Source organism: Homo sapiens, chromosome 11, assembly GCF_000001405.40.
Source record: "Homo sapiens chromosome 11, GRCh38.p14 Primary Assembly".
Lineage (NCBI taxonomy): Eukaryota > Metazoa > Chordata > Mammalia > Primates > Hominidae > Homo > Homo sapiens.
Window position 1 is genome coordinate 129,090,051 of NC_000011.10, and position 19,380 is coordinate 129,109,430.

General features: G+C 36.5%; 1 protein-coding gene across 13 annotated transcripts in view; it reads right to left on the bottom strand.

Annotated features, from left to right (window-relative positions):
* ARHGAP32 (Rho GTPase activating protein 32) overlaps positions 1 to 19,380 on the bottom strand; it is a 314,573-nt gene that overhangs the window by 124,991 nt on the left and 170,202 nt on the right. For all 13 annotated transcript variants that reach the window (XM_047427929.1, XM_047427927.1, NM_001378025.1 and 10 more), the window contains one exon: positions 3,571 to 3,657. In XM_047427929.1, coding sequence (XP_047283885.1) covers positions 3,571 to 3,657 — 87 coding nt within the window. The remainder of the gene's footprint in view (positions 1 to 3,570; positions 3,658 to 19,380) is intronic.

Consider the following 19,380-nt stretch of genomic DNA (forward strand, 5'->3'; position numbering starts at 1 on the left):
AACAGCACGTTACTCATCTATGAAATGGGAATAAATGACACCTACCTTTCACAGAAGCATTATGAGGTTAAATAAAAATCCTGGCAATCTGCCTATATATTTTGTTCATGCACATATGTTCTATAAATGTTAATATTTACTCCCACTCCTGTAGTTAACAGCATTTTCTAATGCCCTGAATGGAAAAGGAGTTACTTAATATCAAGGAATGCATTTTTGATGATGGAATTTCAAGCATGAGAACATTAGAGCACAGGAGATATTCTGAGGCAAGGAAGCATTCCCCTGAAACCAAGTGATTAACCCACCTACCATGACACAAGAGCATTCAGATTACTGTATATATTTATAAAATACTTGATCTTCAGAAAAATCAAACTATTAAATATTGATGAATTCTGCTTAAAATACAAAGGTAGTTAATACACTCTTAACTTGAATAGGAACCATTAATATCAACTACTATAAAGCTGACAGTGAAACATTAAAATCCTAAGTATTTTACTAAGCAACAATTATTCTTATACCAACAAAACTAGATTTACAGAAGGAAAAGATCAAAACAAGACTTTTATTACAGCACAGGTAGAAAAAAACGCCCACCACAGATGGGCTTAAATTTGCCATTTTAAAATGAACATTTAAAAGCTGATGCTTATTTGCTAAAGAATAAAGCACTAAAAGACAGAATACTTTTAGGACCTGGTAACACTGATGTTAAACTCACAAAACGTTTTATTCTGTGTAGTGGGGCTCAATATAATTAGTGTCAGGGTTTATCTAATTTTGGCCTTTTAAAATTATTAAATTTTATATCTACTGTGACATATTCCTGAGATTACTAGAATTTTTATTAATTTCCATTAATTTCAAACTAAATACATTAACTTTCTTGAGAAGGTTCCTCATCCACAGTAGCTGATCTGTTTGTTCTCTCAACAGACACCTTTGTTCGTTTACTCAGAGAACAGAATAAAAAGATAAGGGAGGGGATATCTGCAGCACGACATGTAATTCTAATTAATTACTATGAAAGGGAGGGAGTTGTGGGCTCACCACAGCATCACAGACCTATTATTCAAGACATCTTAAAAAGCATTTTATCCATGGCTAGTATTCAGCTAAGACACACCAATATGGGTAAATGAGATCGGTATAACTAGTATCTGTTCTATTGCTTTGGGTCCATGCTGTATCAGCTGTTTAAATATTTTTACTATCACTAAGATTACAGTCCCCAGTTGGCCTGGGTGCTCCCTTAGGGGCTCTAGATTTGAAGGTTCCAAATGTAAACTGGAAGACAGTTTACAATTCTGGGCTCACAATTTAGAAAGAAATAAAAACTTTTAAGGGCAGGCACAGACACATTTCAAAGTTTCCAAGATAAGACTGAAAGAAATCAGTATCACTTAACTTACAGAAAGAAAAAAGATCACAGCCAATCAATCTGTCACTTTTATAAGCTAACAGAATAAGAGAAGAAAGGGTTAAGATGAAGGACCAAGAATTTTGGTTAAATAAAAAGAACATCAAGTGATATTATTAAAAAGTAGAAACTGACAGAGATATAAAATTTGTAAATAAGTAGACTCTGAAACAGATTACATCAGTGTATAATGGTGGTCTTATCTGAAGATTAAGCAGTTTCTCAAATTTGTTATAGAGTGAAATAGACACAGAAAAAGGTGGCAGTCAAGAAACTGAAATCCTTGTAGTCCCCACTGCTAACACTCTGTATAGCTTAGGACACCAACTTCAGTAATTTGGACCTCAGTTTCCTCACTTGCAAAATTAGAGGGTCTAATTGTATGTCTTTTTCTCTCTTAGTTATAAAAAAGTATGATTCTAGGCTAATATGGGTTATGGCTAACACAATATGTCAAGAATACAGGAGTAAGCCATGGGAATATATCAATGATTACATACAATGAGGCAAAGAACAGGTGCAAATGCATTATTACAATGCACTAAATTACTACTTTGATATAACAAATGGTATACCAAGTAGTATGAAATTTTTTAAGAAGCTTGACAAGATACTTATACCAGGAAACGAACTATCTATCTAGGTCACTAATACTGTACATGAATATAAAAATCAAGTAACAATTATACGTTATAATATTTGGTACCAAAATACCATGCTTGCCTTCTGAAGGTCATTTTAAAAAACAGCACAGATTTTTTTTTATTTTTTTCATGTTATGCTTTGTTCATAAGAAAAAGAACATTTGCATTCTCGAAGCATATGGAAATTAACAGTGAGAAAAAAGAGATGCTAAAATGTCTTAGGTTGTAGAGGGATTAAGAAATTCATTCCTGACATACCAACGATGTACTCTAGATAAAAAAGATATGATTTTCATCCATCTATTAGTAATCACTTATCATAAATGCACTCAATATTTTCACTTAAAAATTAACTCACCAAATGGAAGCATTTTATGAAATATGACATGAAACTTAGTAATTAAGAGCTTCCCTACATTCTCAAAGAAGCCAAGGTGACATGCAATAAAACATATATAAACAATACGTGAATTTGGCCATCTTACTTATTTATATACAAGCTAAAATTTGATTTCCAATCCTATACTCTGACACCTAAAAAGAAACGCACTTAATTCTGGTAAGTTTTCCTTAAGGTGACCACAACTAAAAACTTCAGTATATCACACACGATGAAAGCATTGGACTTTTTTGGATCATTTAGCTTCAGGTACATGATTAATACTTTTTGAGAAAAAATATAAATGCCCATATCTTACTCTCTCCCAAAGATAGCTGAAAACTTTGTATAGAAGAAAGCTTTCCTCCTAAATGCTTTCTTTACAATGACTAATTCACCAGTAGGCAAAAAGCTCAAAGAATGTAGAATAAGTGAATAAAAGAACTATACTAAGTGCTTACATGATGGGGGAAATAATCAATGCTACAAATGACATATTTTAAGTCTCATTAAGAACAAGTCATGGTCATTACCTTCAAAACAGTTCCAATATTAAAAGTCAAGAAATAACAAGCTACAAAAACATGCACATATCCTATTGTTACACCGAAGAGAAACTTAATGTCTCAGTTAGAAAAAGTGTGCATCTGAAGCAGAGATAACATAATCTACTCTTTTGCCATAATATGTGATCAATAGCTGAATCATTTAATGTAGTGATCAATAAATATCTTTCCTTTAGTCTTAATAAAAGTATTTTCACTTAAGGGTATAGATTAAAGAATGAAACAAAAAATCTTGATTACCACAGTCATTGTTATTTACTCATAAGTGTCAAAAGCCTTAGGAACTTTCTAAAAGTGCAAAGAGGAGACATGCAAGTTGCAATGCTCAACTCTACATTCCATGTAGTATTGTATGAATACACTTATTTCTGTTTTAAAATAATACCATTTATTTTCTTACAATAGTCATTATTGCACAATCTCATTTCAGTATTATATAAGTATTTTTCTGTGGATTATATCCTTTAGGCAAATCACGTTATAGAAATAAATTTAATCATCACTCAACCTAATTCTTAACTTCATATGAAATGGAGAATACATTCACAAAATCACCTGACAAGCAATCTGCACGAGGTAGACCAGCTCTTTAGATTCACAGCCATTTTTCATTACTTCATTCTGTTCTTCTGAAAGTGAAAGCTACATCACAGAAAAAAAAGAAGAGGGGGAAAGAAAGTCATGATTAGTAAACGAGAATAAACTAAGCATTCATAATACCTGGAGCATCATCTCCGGGTGAGCATCAGCTTAATGTGAGACATATCTTATATGAGAACTTCATTGCTTAAGGCAGATGAATGAAGGACTTGGTGTTTCAGATAAAATATATATCTGTATCTGTGTAGCTTACGTATAAGGGTCTTCACTTCCTTAATCTATTTAGTACATACATGAAACTAAGCACTGAGAGATAGTATGACATAACAGTTTAAAAGAGTTCAGACCTTATTACATAGATTAAAAACTGGCTGCAGATAACAGGTTGGGCCTATGGACGTGTTTAATTTCAAAATCACCATGTAGTGGGGTGGGGAGGAGGTGGGGATGGTTAATGGGTACAAAATAAACAGAAAGAATGAAAAAGACCTAGTATTTGATAGCACAACAAGGTGACTATAGTTAATAATAATTGTACAGTTTAAAATGACTAAAATAGTATAACTAGATTGTCTGTAACACAAAGGATAAATGCTTGAAGGATGGATACCCCATTTTCCATGATGCTATTATTACACATTGCATGCCTGTATGAAAACATCTCATATACCTTATAAATATATAAACCTACTCTGTATCCACAAAGATTTGAAATTTAAAATTTCAAAAAAAAATTCACCATGTAGGTCTGCATACTGGATTTTAGTTTTATTTAAACCAGCTACCGACATGTAGAAGCTAAGAGGTTTCATGTGAAAAATACAGATTTCTGGCTTCTACTGAAAAATCAGAAAATTGGGAAGATTGGACCTACATTCTCACACGGGCAACAACTAGCTACAGCTGAGAAATGACCATCACCTTTAAATGAGGTGTATATTCCCCAAGAAAGTTTGTCACAGAACTGACTACCCTGTAGTTTTTTTGCCAGTATCTAGGCTGAGTATTAATTGTCATTCATCATGCTACTTGCTTTGTTATTTTTCTTATACCCCACTTGCTTTACTCACTTATGTTACACACCTGCCCCATCTTTGGACGTCAATTTGCAAACGCGGTCCCAGAGATGGACAACCCTGAGTTCAAATGTGTTTATAATTTGCAATGTAATATTGACCTACCTGCTTAGGCTCTCAACTGGAAAATGAGGATGATATAATATTATGTATTCTCAAGTTTGTGGGTATTAAATGAGATGATGCATGGACAGTGTCCACCCAGGTAACTAATACTTAATAAATGTAATGTACCATTATAATTCATACTATATGAAGTACAAGGTTGATGAAGATATATTCTCTATTGAGGAAAGTGGTATCACAAAGTATTTTTTTAAACTTCAGATATTAAGTACAAGTTGTTCACAAGATAACAATCATTTTCCCATTAGCCCAAAAAAGCCAGGTTAATGATAAAAGCATAGTTTAAAAAAGAAATAAAATAATTAAGGGTGAAAAGAAACCTACATGAACTAGTTTTCAGAAAGTGACAACACTTTCATGAGACAGAAGTGACTCAAAGATGTGCTTGGACGCCTGGCAGAGATACAAGAGAAAAAAGAATCTATGTTAGACAGGGTAAGGAGAAGCCAGCCAAACCTTGAGTAACTGCATATAAACTAAAGTGATAAACTAAAATTACACTGTAGTGTAATCACTAAAGTGATAAACTAAAATTACAACTCTCTGTAGCAGAGAGTTGACACTCACCCATCAACTGATTCCCACAGGTACTCACCAGGGATATCGGGTGAGTAAACCAAGGCTGCAGGAGAGGAAGAGAACTGAGAGAATGAACCTGTGAAGTATGGGAAGCCTCCCCAAGGACAAGGCAGCTAACCTCCCTTGACTGGGAGCAGGGCAGTGAAACAGAGGAAAGGAGAACTGGAAGATACCCCTCTGAAGGCACTCAGGACACTCAACAACTGAAGGATGGAGGTGGCACAGAAAAGCTGGGAGAAACTGCAGGCCTTCACAGCTACCCTCAAAGCTCTTGCATAGGGCAAGGGGAAGAGTGCTCTCCAGAGGCACAAAATACTGGGGGAAAGAACTGGACAGACAAGAGAATAAGCATCCAGGCTGCAAAGCAGAGAAAGAGAACATGTTCTCCCTCAGTTCAGAAGATCTGGGCTTCATAGCAAAGCACAAAGATACCTTCAGCATCTCACCACTCTTCAGTTTTCCTTGTGAAAGAAATCTCAGAACCTTAACTTCAAAATATTTAAAGTAGTGATAAACTCAATCAAAGTAAAGCTGTCATAAAAGACCAGATCTTATCAAATACAGATCAGCCTGATGCAGCACCTCATTTCAACAGACTGAAAGAAGAAGAGATAAGCCCTTTCCTGGAGGTAAGTTTACTGACTTTAGTCTCAGCTGTTTCTTATATATTTCACATTAAAGAATTACAAAACACACAGATAAGCAAGCAAATGTGACACATGGTCATGAGAGGCAAGGGTAAAATAAAGCAGACACAGAATTGGGCCAGATATAAAAATAATAAGAAAGAGAATGTAAATTAAATATAATTGAGATTCTAAAATACAGTTCAACAGGCAAACAACACGCAAAAGCACACGAGAAAGAGAAGATTCTGGAAAAACGGCAGACTCACCAGGAATCGATCTTTCCACCTAGACAATAACTGCACTGGCAGAATCTGTCCGGTGGATAACTATTTTGACAACTCTGGTATCTACTGAAGGCCTGCTACTTCCAAGGGAAGGCTTGGATGGGAAACTGTAGTTCATTTTGGTCAACATCAGCACTTAAGAAAGTAACAGCTCCCTATACCCCCCCGGCCCCGCCCCGCCCCTGCCACCCCTATAGCAGGCAGCTGTGCACATACTCCTGGAGCAGCATAAACATACCTTACAAGAGTCAAGACAGACAAAAAGAACACTGCCTCCAAATTTCAGAGATCTATGCTGTGGCTGCGGATCACTGCTTTGGATTGCAGAGGTGCAGACAAATAGCTATGTGTCCATTACACCTAGCTCCACTGTTTGCAGGCCCATGCTCCTCTGGCTAAAGTGACTGGCAGCAGACATAAAGGGCCAACGCCCTTTTCCTTCCCTGTCCCCCTTGATTTTTCTCTTTTTCCTCCTTTGGGAAAATATAATAGACTAGGGCATTCAAAAGCAACTGACCTATTCAAAAGACTTACAGAGAAAATTAGAAAGTGACTGCACACTCTCAGAGAAAGGTACAGACTTAGGAAAGACAAAAGAAGACATTAAGTTCCAACTCAGGCTGATCTTTGGCACAGAGACGGACAAGAACAATAAAAAACAAACAAAAACAATAAAAACAGCAGTCCCTGGGGAAGAAGGAGAATCTGGTTTTCAGAGTTACCACATCATTAGATTCAAATGTCCATTTTTCAAAAAAAAAAAAATCACAAGGCATATAAAGAAACAGAAAGTATGAACCTTTCAAAGGAAAAAATGAATCAAAATGAATCATGGTGGCTCACACCTGTAATCCAGTGCTTTGGGAGGCTGAGACAGGAGGATAGCTTGAGGCCAGGAGTTCAAGTCCAGCTTGAGCAACATAGAACACCATCTCTACAAATCTACAAATTTTTTTAATAAAAATAGAAATAAAAAACTGTTTCTGAAAAAGATCTGATAGTAGGTTTACTAGACAAACAACTATCTTAAAGATGTTCGAAGACCTAAAGGAAGTTGTGGAAAAAGTCAAGGAAACATTATATAAACAAAATAGAAATATCAATAAAGAGATAAAAAGCCTAGAAACCAAAATCAAATTTTGTAGCTGAGAAGTATAACAACTGAAATGAAAAATTCACTAGAGGGATTCAAAGGCAGATTTGAGCAGGCAGAAGAAACAATTAGTTAACTTAAAGATAAGACAAAAGAGATGATTGAGTAATAGGAAGAAAAAATAATTGAAGATAAGTAACAAGAGCCTAAGGGACCCATGGGACACCCTCAAGCAAACCAACATACACATGTAGGAGTACCAGAATAAAAAAAGAGAGAGAAGGGACAAAGAGATTATTTGAAAAGATAATGGCCCCAAACTTCCCAAATTTGATAAAAGACATGAATATCAACATCCAAGAAGCTCAATGAACTCTAAGTAAGATAAACTCAGAGAGACCCACACTAAGACACCCGATAATCAAATGTTCAAAATACAAAGACAAGGAGGCAATCTTGAAAGAATCAAGATAGGAGTGACTCAACACCTGCAAGGGATCATCAGTAAGACTGGGAGATTTCTCATTAGAAACTTTAAAGGTCAAAAAACAGCAGGTAAATATATTCAAAGTGCTAAAAGAACTGTCAACCACTAATTCTATAACCAGCAAAACTGTCCTTAAAAAGTAAGGGAGATGTTCCTAGATTTTAAAAATCCCAACTTCAGATGTTCCCAGATAAAGAAAAGCTGAGGGAGTCAGTTACCACTAGACCTGCCAAACAGAAATTCTCAAGGGATACCTGCAGGGTAAAATAAATTAAAACACATACACACAAACACTACTAACTCAAACCCTAATGAAGAAGTAAGAACTCAATAAAGGTAAATATATGGGCAATTATAAAAGCCTGTATTACTGTACAATGATATGTAACTCCACTTTTTGTTATCTAAATGATTTAAGAGACTAATACTTAAAAGAAAATTATTAGTCTAAAGGCTAGCATTATTTATTTTTCTTTTTCTTTTTTCTTTTTTTTTTTGAGACGGAGTCTTGCTCCATCTCCCAGGCTGGAGTGCAGTGGCGCGATCTCGGCTCACTACAAGCTCTGCCTCCCGGGTTCACACCAATTCTCCTGCCTCAACCTCCTGAATAGCTGGGACTACAGGTGCCTGCCACCATGCCCAGCTAATTTTTTGTATTTTTAGTAGAGACGGGGTTTCACTGTGTTAGCCAGGATGGTCTTGATCTCCTGACCCCGTGATCCACCCGCCTCGGCCTCCCAAAGTGTGGCTAGCATTATTTTAACTTTGGTTTTAATTCCACATTCTTTCCTACATCATTTCAAAGGCTAATATATTTTAAAAATTATTTATGTTTCAGAGCAGAAAAATGTATAAAGATGTAATTTTGTGATAATCAACAACCAAAAGAGGAGACCATGGAGCTATTACAGGAGCAGAGTTTTTCTATGTTAATAAATTTAAACTGGCATAAATTCAAATTTGAATGTTATAACTTTAGAATGTTAAATGTAATCCTCATGGCAACCACAAAAAGATAGCTATAGAATGTGAACAAAAGAAAATAAGAAAGAAATTTAAACATTTCACAATAAAAAATCAACTAAACACATTTAAAAAGCATTAATGCAGGAATATAGGGAAAAAAGCTATAAGATATAAAGAAAACATATAGAAAAATGAGAGAAGTCCCTCCTTATCAGTAATTACTTTTAATGTGAATGAAATAAACAGTACAATCAAAGACAGGGATTGGCAGAATAACAAAGTAACATAATTCAATTACAGTGATGTGCCACCATAACAACATTTTGGTCAATGACAAACTGCATATATCACAGTGGGCCCATAAGATTATAAAACCACATTCTTACTGTACCTCTTCCATGTTTAGAGACACAAATGCTTACCATTGTGTTACAACTGCCTATAGTATTCAGCAGATTAACATTCTGAACCAGTTTGTAGCCTAGAAGCAATAGGCTACACCAGATAGCTTGGGTGTATGGTAGGCTATACCTATTCTAAGTATGTTTTAGAGATATTCACAACTACAAAATCACCTAATAATATATCCCTCTGAAAATAACCCTGTTAAGTGATGCATTACTATATATGGTGGTTACAGGAGATACACTTTAGACCCAAATACACAAATAGATTGAAAGTGGAAGGATGGAAAAAGATATTCCATGCAAATTGAAACCAAAAGAGAGTGGAGGTGACTATACTAAAAATAAATAAAACAGACACTAAACCAAAAAGTTTAGAAACAAAAAAGAATAGTATATGATAATAGAAGGTTCAATACACAAAGAAGATACAATTATAAGCAGTGGGGGAGAACAAGGTGGCTGACTAGATGCAGCCAGGTGAAACAGCTCCCACTGAGAGACCAAGATGACTGGCGTGCTTCTAACAGATCTTCAGAGGGAAGGCACCCAGAGTGTACACAAGGAAGACACAGAAGCTAGGCTGAAGGGGGAGAAAGCTGGGAACCCTGCATGGGGCTACTGTGCACTGCACCAGGACTCGTTCCTGGATCCCAACAGCTCCCGGGGAAGAGGTGAATTGAACTGGCAAGGAGCAACCTGCACTCGCTACAGGCCTCTGAAACCCTGGCAGGCAGAGACCCCCCTTTGACCACCATGGACACTTGAATTGGCAGGGAGAGCTTCTTAGAGAAGTGGTAGGGGCAGCAATCCAGTTGATGTGGAGCCCAGAAGGTTTGATGCAGGAGCATCCATAGCAGAGCACATTTAGGAGTGGTCATGCCCATAAGCTCAACTTGCAACCATAGGTGGCTTTACTTCAAGGGGAACTGCTAGACCTGATCTCTGCAAGATGGTCTTGCCCATCAGATGGGGCCAGTTCAATCTGACCATCCCTTGGTGTGCTGGCCTCTCCCAAGGACCCAGCCTGGCCACACATGCTTGCAGGGCAGCCTCACATGTCCTGGGAGCTATATCACAGCTTCTGCAATGGTGGACCATGCCTGACCTGTGGAGAGCTGCAGAGGGGTGGCATCTATGACCATGCATCAGCCCAGACTCCCTCCCCATATGTCAGCTTCCCCTGAGGCCATGGCAACTCCACACATCACTTTGCTGGCACATGTCAGTATGGGCAGGTTTCGCTTTCCTTTCTCCACCAGTGAACAAGAGTGCAATCCACCCTACCTCCACCTGCCGACCACCACTGTAGACGGAGCCTTGGTGGGCAGAGCCAGCCAACCCCAACCCTGCCTGCACCCTGCCCTTATACTAACACTGCACAGAGAACAGCGAATCCTCTCCCACCCTGAGTGACCACTTCTGCTTATGTGGCACAGAGAAGGCACCTAGACCTGCGCCCACCAGCTCCCAAGCCAACACCACCTCCAGCACAACTGTGTGCACAGTAACCAACAGAGGGCCTCCACCCACCACCCAGCTGCATTGCCCCTGCCACTGTGGTGAATGCCCATAGGGAGCCAAGCACCCTGGCACCCACTAGCACTCTGCTGCAGCTGCTGTTACAAGGATGGACCCTGCTATCACCACACTATGAAATGCTTTGACTGTCACCACCCATTGGAGTGTAGTGACCAGCAGTCCAGGAGCACTTTGGTCCCCACCAACACAGTGGATTCCTAACCTCAAGGAGACAGAGAACAAAGTCTGGATGTAATACAGTTGGGAGCAGAGCGCTGGTCCCCCCAAAAATTTCCAGAAATGAAGCCAATCAGCTGAATCCCCTTCATAACACAATCAAACCCTAAAGGTCATCAAATAGGATAAAAGGGGGAAAAAAAACATCCAAAGGCCAGCAACCTAAAAGACTGTACATAAGCCCACAAACATGAGAAAGAATCAGCACAAGAACCCTGAAAACTCAAAAAGCCAGAGTGCCTTCTATTCTCCAAACAAATGTATCCTCTCTTCAGTAAGGGTCCTGAACTGGCCTGAAATGGAAATAGAATTCAGAATATGCATAGGAATGAAGATCACTGGGCTACAGGAGTACACTAAAACCCAATCCAAGGAAGCTAAAAAGCATGATAAAACAATACAGGAGCTGACAGACAAAATAGCCAGTATAGAAAATAATGTAACCAACCTGATAGAGCTGAAAAACACACTACAAGAAGTTTATAATGCAATCACAAGTATTAACAGCAGAACAGACCAAGCATAGGAAAGAATCTCAAAGCTTGAAGACAGGCATTCTGAAATAAGACAGACAGACAAGAATAGAGAAAAAAGAATGAAAATGAACAAATAAAACCTCCAAGAAATATGGGATTGTGTAAAGAGACCAAATCTACAACCCCCTGGTGGCCCTTAAAGAGGTGGAGAGAATGGAACCAAATTGGAAAACGTATTTCAGGATATCATCCATGAGAACTTCCCCAACCTAACTAGAGAAGCCAACATTCAAATTCAGGAAATGTAGAGAATTCAAGTAAGATACTTCACAAGAAGATCATCCACAAGACACATAATTGTCAGATTCTCCAAGGTCGAAATGAAAGAAAAAATGTGAAAGGCAGCTAGAAAGAAAGGTCAGGTCACCAACAAAGGGAAGCCCATCAGACTAACCACAGACCTCTCAGCAGAAACCCTACAAACCAGAAGATATTGAGAGTCAATATTCAACACTCTTAAAAAAATTCCAAGACAGAATTTCATATCTGGTGAAACTAAGCTTCATAAGCAAAGGAGAAATAAGATCCTTTTCAGACAAACAAATGCTGAGGGAATTAGTTACCACCAGACCTGCCTTACAAGAGCTCCTGAAGGAAGCACTAAATATGGAAAAGAAAAACTGTTACCAGCTGCTACAGAAACACACTGAAATAAGCAGACCAATGATACTATAAAGCAACCACATAAACAAGTCTGCAAAATAACCAGCTAACATCATGATGACAGGATCAAATCCACACATATCACTACTAACCTTGAATGTAAATGGGCTAAATACCCCAATTAAAAGACACACAGTGGCAAACTGGATAAAGAACCAAGACCCATTGGTATGCTGTCTTCAAGACACCTATGTCACATGCAGTGAGAACCACAGGTTCAAAATGAGGGAACTTCTATCACCTAACAACAACAAAAACAAAAACAATTTAAAAATGGGCAAAGTACTAGAGAATAGACATTTCTCCTAAGAAGATATACAAATGACCAGTAAGCACACAAAAAGATGTTCAAAATCACTAATCATTAGCAAATGCAAATCTAAACTACAATGAGATACCACTTCACATACATAAGGACACCTATTATCCAAAAACAGAAAACATCAAGTGCTGGTTTCAAATTAGAGTGACTAAAACCCTTGTACATTGTTGGTGGTATTCGTACTGCCACTGTGGAAAAGAGAATGGTGGTCCTCAAAAAGCTTAAAAGGAGAATTATTATATGACCTAGAAGAATTACTATATGACCTAGCAATTCCACTTCTGGGTATACACCCCCCAAAGACAAAACAGAGTCTCAAAGAGACATTTGTAAACCCATGTTCACAGAAGCATTATTCATCATAACTAAAAAGCAGAAGTAACCCAATGCCCATCAACAGATGACTGGATAAACAAAATGTGGTGCACACATTTACACATGTATACAAACAGGCAAAATGAAATATTATTCAGCCTCAGCCTTTAAAAAGAAAAAATTCTGACATATGCTACAACAGGGATGAACACTGTGCTCATGTTAAATATACCAAACACAAAAAGACAGATACTTGATTCTACATATGTGTGGTACTTACAGCAGTCAAAAGAAAATATGGGAAATCCAGCAGAGATTAAAACTATGAAAAAAAGTTCCATAGAAAATGCGAAAAATGATTTTTTGTATCAGATTTTAAGAGCAAACTGGCAACAGTAAATGAAAGGAGCAGTGAACTTGAAAACAGGTCAATGAAAAGTATCCACACTGAATCACTAAGAGAAAAAAAGAATAAACAAAAATAACAATACAGTTCAGCTCCCTAAGAGAATGTCAAACACATATAACCATAGATATAATTGGAGTACCAGAAGGAGATAAGAGAGAATGAAGCAGAATATCTCAGGAGATACCAGATGAGAACTTTCCAAAATATGTGAAAACATCAGCTTCAAAATCAAGAAACTCAGTGCACCCCAAACTAAATGAATAAATCAGTACTAAACATATCATAATTATAATTTTGAAAAGGAAAGATAAAGAAAAAACTTTCAATCTATAAAGAAAAAAACATACATGACTCATGGTGGAAAAGTATAAATAACAGCTGACTTCTCATCAGAAACAAGAGAGGGGAGAAGACAAAAAGAAAACATCTTTTAAGTGCTGAAAGAAATGTTGTCAATACTATTAATATAATTCATGCCAATAACCATCAGAAATTAAGCAACATAAAAATATTCACAAATAAAAATAATCTGAAAGAATCTGTCTCCAGTAGACTAGTCCAACCAAAAAACTAAAACAAGTTCTTCAGGCTAAAGAGAAATGGTACTAGACAAAAACCCAGAACTGCAGGAAGGAATAAACAGTTCCAGAAATAGGAAATATCTAAGTAACTATAAAACACCTAACATCTCAACAGTAACAGATGGAACGGTTTAAGAATATCTTTTAAGTTCTGAGAAAAGAGATTTACCAAGATGTTATTCATACCTAAACTATCATGTAAAAATAAGAGCCAAAAAAAGCATTTTCTGATGAACAAAAACTGAAGAGTTCCCACCAACAAAACCTCACCAAAAAAAATTTCTAAAATATGTACCTCAGAAGAAAAGGGATTCTAAAAGAATAAACTGAGAAGTAAGGTAGAAATATTGAACAAGAAATTCAGGAAATAAGTTTATAAATCGAAACAAATTTAGCTATATAAGAATAGTATTTAATTATGAAAGATGAAAAGTTAGAATTATCATCCTGAACAACACTAACATGGAGGAAAGAGTGATCACAGTTAAAATATTCTAAATGCTGATACTTTATGACAGAATCAGAGATACCAAAAAATTTAGCCTTTAAATTAGGTTTTTGAGTTATGATTTTAATTGCAGCCATAAAAAGAATAGAAAAATGATACATATTTTCTATTTTCTGGTTTCCAAACCAAAAGGAAGAGGATAAAATTTTTAAATGTCAATAACCTTAAAAGAAATTAAGACTAGAAATAAAATTAATCTCTCTAGGAAGAAATGGGGAGGAAGGCATAAGGAGAGAGAACATTTCAGAAAAAAAAAAGCAAGGAGATAAGAAGAAAAGAAAAAACTAAAAGAGAAAGAAGATGGCCAAATGGTGTCAATAAAATGGTAAAGTAGGTGGCTACAAGCTTCAATCCCTCCAAAAATCACAAAAAACAAGCACAATCTCTCAGAGTCAACTTTCTCAGTACTCCAGAAAACAGTAAAGGGTTTAGAATAACCAAGAGATCACTGAATCAAGGAAAAAGCCACTTCAAAATAGGAAAGCTTTGTGGCATTTTTACTTGTGCTTGCCCCAAACCTCTCTGGCTCAGCAGTAGTCTTAATGATGCCAACCCTCACCGGGCCTGAAAGGAATAGACAGACCCTATTCACAAACTATTGTTTGTCTCTTCTAACCTGTCTAGAGGCTACCTGAAGAACTGATGCAAGGTGCTTACCTACATTTCACCTAATATGGAACTCATTCAAGGAGGAAAACCATTAAATATTGCTTAAAAATACAGTAAGGCAAACAAAAACTCTACAACTATCTGGAGCAAAAAAATTATATTTGAGACATAAAGTAAACAACCTAAAATCTAAGAGGGAAAGCTGAGTAGAGAGGTCTCTGGGAAATGACAGCATTCAAAAGTGCCTGGGTATATGGAAGTATTTTGAAAGCCATGCACACGCACAGGGTAGGACACATACTCACAAAAAGCTAAGAAGTCCCTAGGTTTTCACCTCCAGCTGACCTCTAGGATAAGTGTAACATGAAGGGAAGACGAAGGCAGACCTGTAAACAGCTTCGCTAGGTGTTGAATGAGTATTCCAGTACAGAAGCAACACGTAAAGACCGGAGAAAGTGGCTTTTTCATTGATTTTTATTTTTCACTCCTGGCATTCAAAAAAATCCCTGACAAAACACTACCTAAACACAAGCTAAAAGAAGAAAGACTTTACTAAATACATATGACAAGGAATACAGTCTTCACTAAAACAGTTTGGAAAAAAAAATCACCAAACAAACCGCAGCCATGAACAATGAAAAAAATCAAACTCTTAAGGATAGACGAAAACCCAGTTTCCAGAGTTACTACACTATAATATTCAAATGTACAGTATGCCACACAAGCCACAAGTTATACAAAGAAACAGGAAAGCACACATTCATCAGAGGAAAAAACAAAAACTGTACCTGAGAAGTCTATATATGGGACTTAACTAGACACTAAATAAACTGTATTCAACACATTCAAAAAGTTCAAAGAAACCATGGACAAAGAAATAAGGGAAATCAAGAAACTGATGTATGAACATATGAGAATATTAGCAAGAAGTTATAAAGTATTAAAAAAACAAAGTCTGGGGCCAAAAGGTACAATAACTAAAGTTAAAATCTGACTAGACAAAAGACAACAGATGTTGGTGAGGCTGCAGAGAAAAGGAATTGCTTATATACTGTTGTTGGGAATGTAAATTACTTCAGCCATTGTCGAAAGCAGTTTGGAGATATCTCAAAAGAACTTTAAAAACAGAACTACCATTTGACCCAGCGATCCCATTACTGGATATATATACAAAAGAAAACAAATTGTTCTACCAAAAAGACGCATGCACTCACTTGTTCATCACAGCACTATTCACAATAGCAAAGACATGGAATCAACCTAGGTGCCCATCAAAAGTGAGCTAGATAAAGAAAATATGGTACACACATACCATGGAATACTACACAGCTATAAAAAAGAAAAAACCACGTCCTTTGCAGCAATATAAATGCAGACAGTGGTTATTAGCCTAAGCAAATTAACACAGGAGCAGAAAACTAAATACCAGACGTTCTCACTCATAAGTCGGAGCTGAACATCAGGTACTTACGGAAATAAAGATGGTAACAATAGACACTGGGGACTACTAGATAGGGGAGGGTGGCAGTGAGGAAAAGATTTAAAAACTAACTTTTGGGTGTTATTCTCAGTACGTGGGTGATGGGATTACTTGTACCCTAAACCTCAACATCACACAATATACCCAGGTAATAAATACACTTGTACATGTACTCCCTGAATCTAATATAAAAGTTGAAAAAGAAAATAAATATTCACTAGATAGCTCAACAACAGATTTGATCAAGAAGAAGAAAGAATCAGTCACCTTAAAGATAAGACAAGTAGATAAAATGTAATGAACAGAAAGAAGAAATAATTTTAAAAATTAATCAGTGCTTTAAAAAACCTATGAGACCCATCAAGTGGACCAACTCTCGCATTATGGAAATCTAAGAATGAAAAAGAGAATGGGGCAAATATTATTTTTTAAAATAATGGCTGAAATCATTCCAAATTTGATGAAAGACATAAATGTGCACATCCAAAATCCAAAGAGTTCCACACCAAGACACACTATAATCAGATTTTTCAAAAGACAAGGTCAAAGAGAAGCTCTTGAAGGCAGCAAAAAAGAAGCAACTGGTCACATATAAGTGATCCTCAAAAACATTATAAGCTATTTTCTCAGCTGAAATGTTGAGGCCAAAAGGTGGAGGGATGATACATTTAAAATACTGAAAGAAAAACCTAGTCAACTAGCAATCCTATATCCAGCAAAACTATCCTTCAAAAATAAAGGAGAAATTAAGACATTCACAGATTTCCCCCAAAAAATAGAACTGAAAGAGTTGACCAACACTAGACCTACCCCACAAGAAAGGCTAAACAAAGTTCTTAACATTGATATAAAAGGACACTAGACAGTAACTTGTAGCCATATGAAAATAAAAAGATCTCCAGTTAAGGTTAATACATGGGCAAACACACACCAGTAATACCGAAACTCTGGTTTAGAACCCCACTTTTTGCTTTCTATGTTATTTAAAAGACACATTCATAAATGTATGTTATTGGGCACATGATATATAAAGATGTAATCTGTGACATCAATGACTTAATGATGGCGATTGAGCTGTATAAAAGTACAGATTTTGGGCCGGACGTGGTGGCTCACGCCTGTAATCCCAGCACTTTGGGAGGCCACAGCAGGCGGATCGCCTGAGGTCAGGAGTTCGAGACCAGCCTGACCAACATGGAGAAACCCCGTCTCTACTAAAAATACAAAATTAGCCAGATTTGGTGGCACATGCCTGTAATCCCAGCTACTTGGGAGGCTGAGGCAGGAGAACTGCTTGAACCCAGGAGGCGGAGGTTGCAGTGAACCAAGATCATGACATTGCACTCCAGCCTGGGCAACAAGGGCAAAACTATGTTTCAAAAAAAAAAAAAAAAAAAAAAAGTAGAGCTTTTGTATAGAATTGAAGTTAAGTTGGCATAAATTCAAAATAAACTGTTATAGTTTTAAGATGTTCTATGTAATCACTGTGGTAACCATAAAGAGAACAGCCATATAAAATATACAGAGGAAAAAATGAGAAGAGAATCAAAATGTCACTAATTCAATTAAATAAGAAAGAAGGCAGTAACAGCAAAAATGGGGGCAAAAAATATAAGACATATCGAAAACAAACAGCAAAATGGCATAAGTCCTTCCTTAAGAGTAATTACTACAAATGTAAACAGAGTAAACTCTACAATCATAAGGCAGAGATGGAGAACAGATTAAAAATAGACACAATCCAACCACTTGCTTTCTACAAGAGACTCACTTTAGAGCCAAAGATACAAATATGTTGAAAATGAAAAGATGAAAAACTATATTCCGTGTAGATGACAACCAAAAAGACCTGGGTAGCTATACTAGTATCAGACAAAATAGACATTAGGACAAAAATGAACATTATATATTGATGAAATGAGAAAATTCATCAAGAACATATAACAATTATAAACATGGAGGCCCCAAGCAAAAGAGCACCAAAATATATAAAGCAAACATGACAGAAGTGAAGGGAGAAATAGGCAGTTCTACAAAAGCACTAGTTGAGTTCAATATGACCTTTCGATAATGTATAGGCTAGAATATTTTCATATGTTTGTTGATCACCTCTCTATCTTCTTTGGAAAAATATCTGCTCGAGCCCTTTGCTGATTTGTGAAGTGGGTTGTTGATATTTTGTTGTTGAGTTGTAATAGTTCTACATTTAATTTGCTTCAGATATATGACTTGCATTATTCCCATTCAGTGGGTTCTTTTCACTGTCTTGATAGTGTCTTTGAATGCACAATTTTTAAATTGATACATAATATTTTACATATTTGTGAGTTACATGTGATATTTTGTTACAAGCACAGAAAGCGTCATTACCAAATCAGGGTATTTGGGGTTTCCATCACGTTAAGTATTTACCATTTTTATGTACTGGAAACATTTCAAGATCTCTCTTTCGGCTACTTTGAAATACACATACATGGTTGTTAACTATAGTCATCCTACTCTGGTATTGAACATTGTAACTTACACCTTCTATCTAACTGCATGTTTCTTCCCATTAATCAAACTTCTTCATCATGTTGCCCCTTCTCAGACTGTTATTCTACTCTCTACCTCCATTAGATCAAGTTTTTTAGATCCCACATGTAAGTGAGAATATGCAATATTTGTCTTTCTGTGGCTAGATTATTTCACTTCACATGATGACCTTCAGTTCCATCCATGTTGCTGCAAATGACAGAAATTTCATTCTTTTGTGGCCAAATAGTATTCGATTGCATATATATATATATACCATACTTTAACCATTCGTCTGTGGAGAGACATGTGGGTTGATTCCATATCTTTGTTATTGGATTCCATATCTTTGTTATTGTAAATAGTGCTGCAATAAACATGGGAGTGTGGGTATCAATCCGATACACTGATTTACTTTCCTTTAGA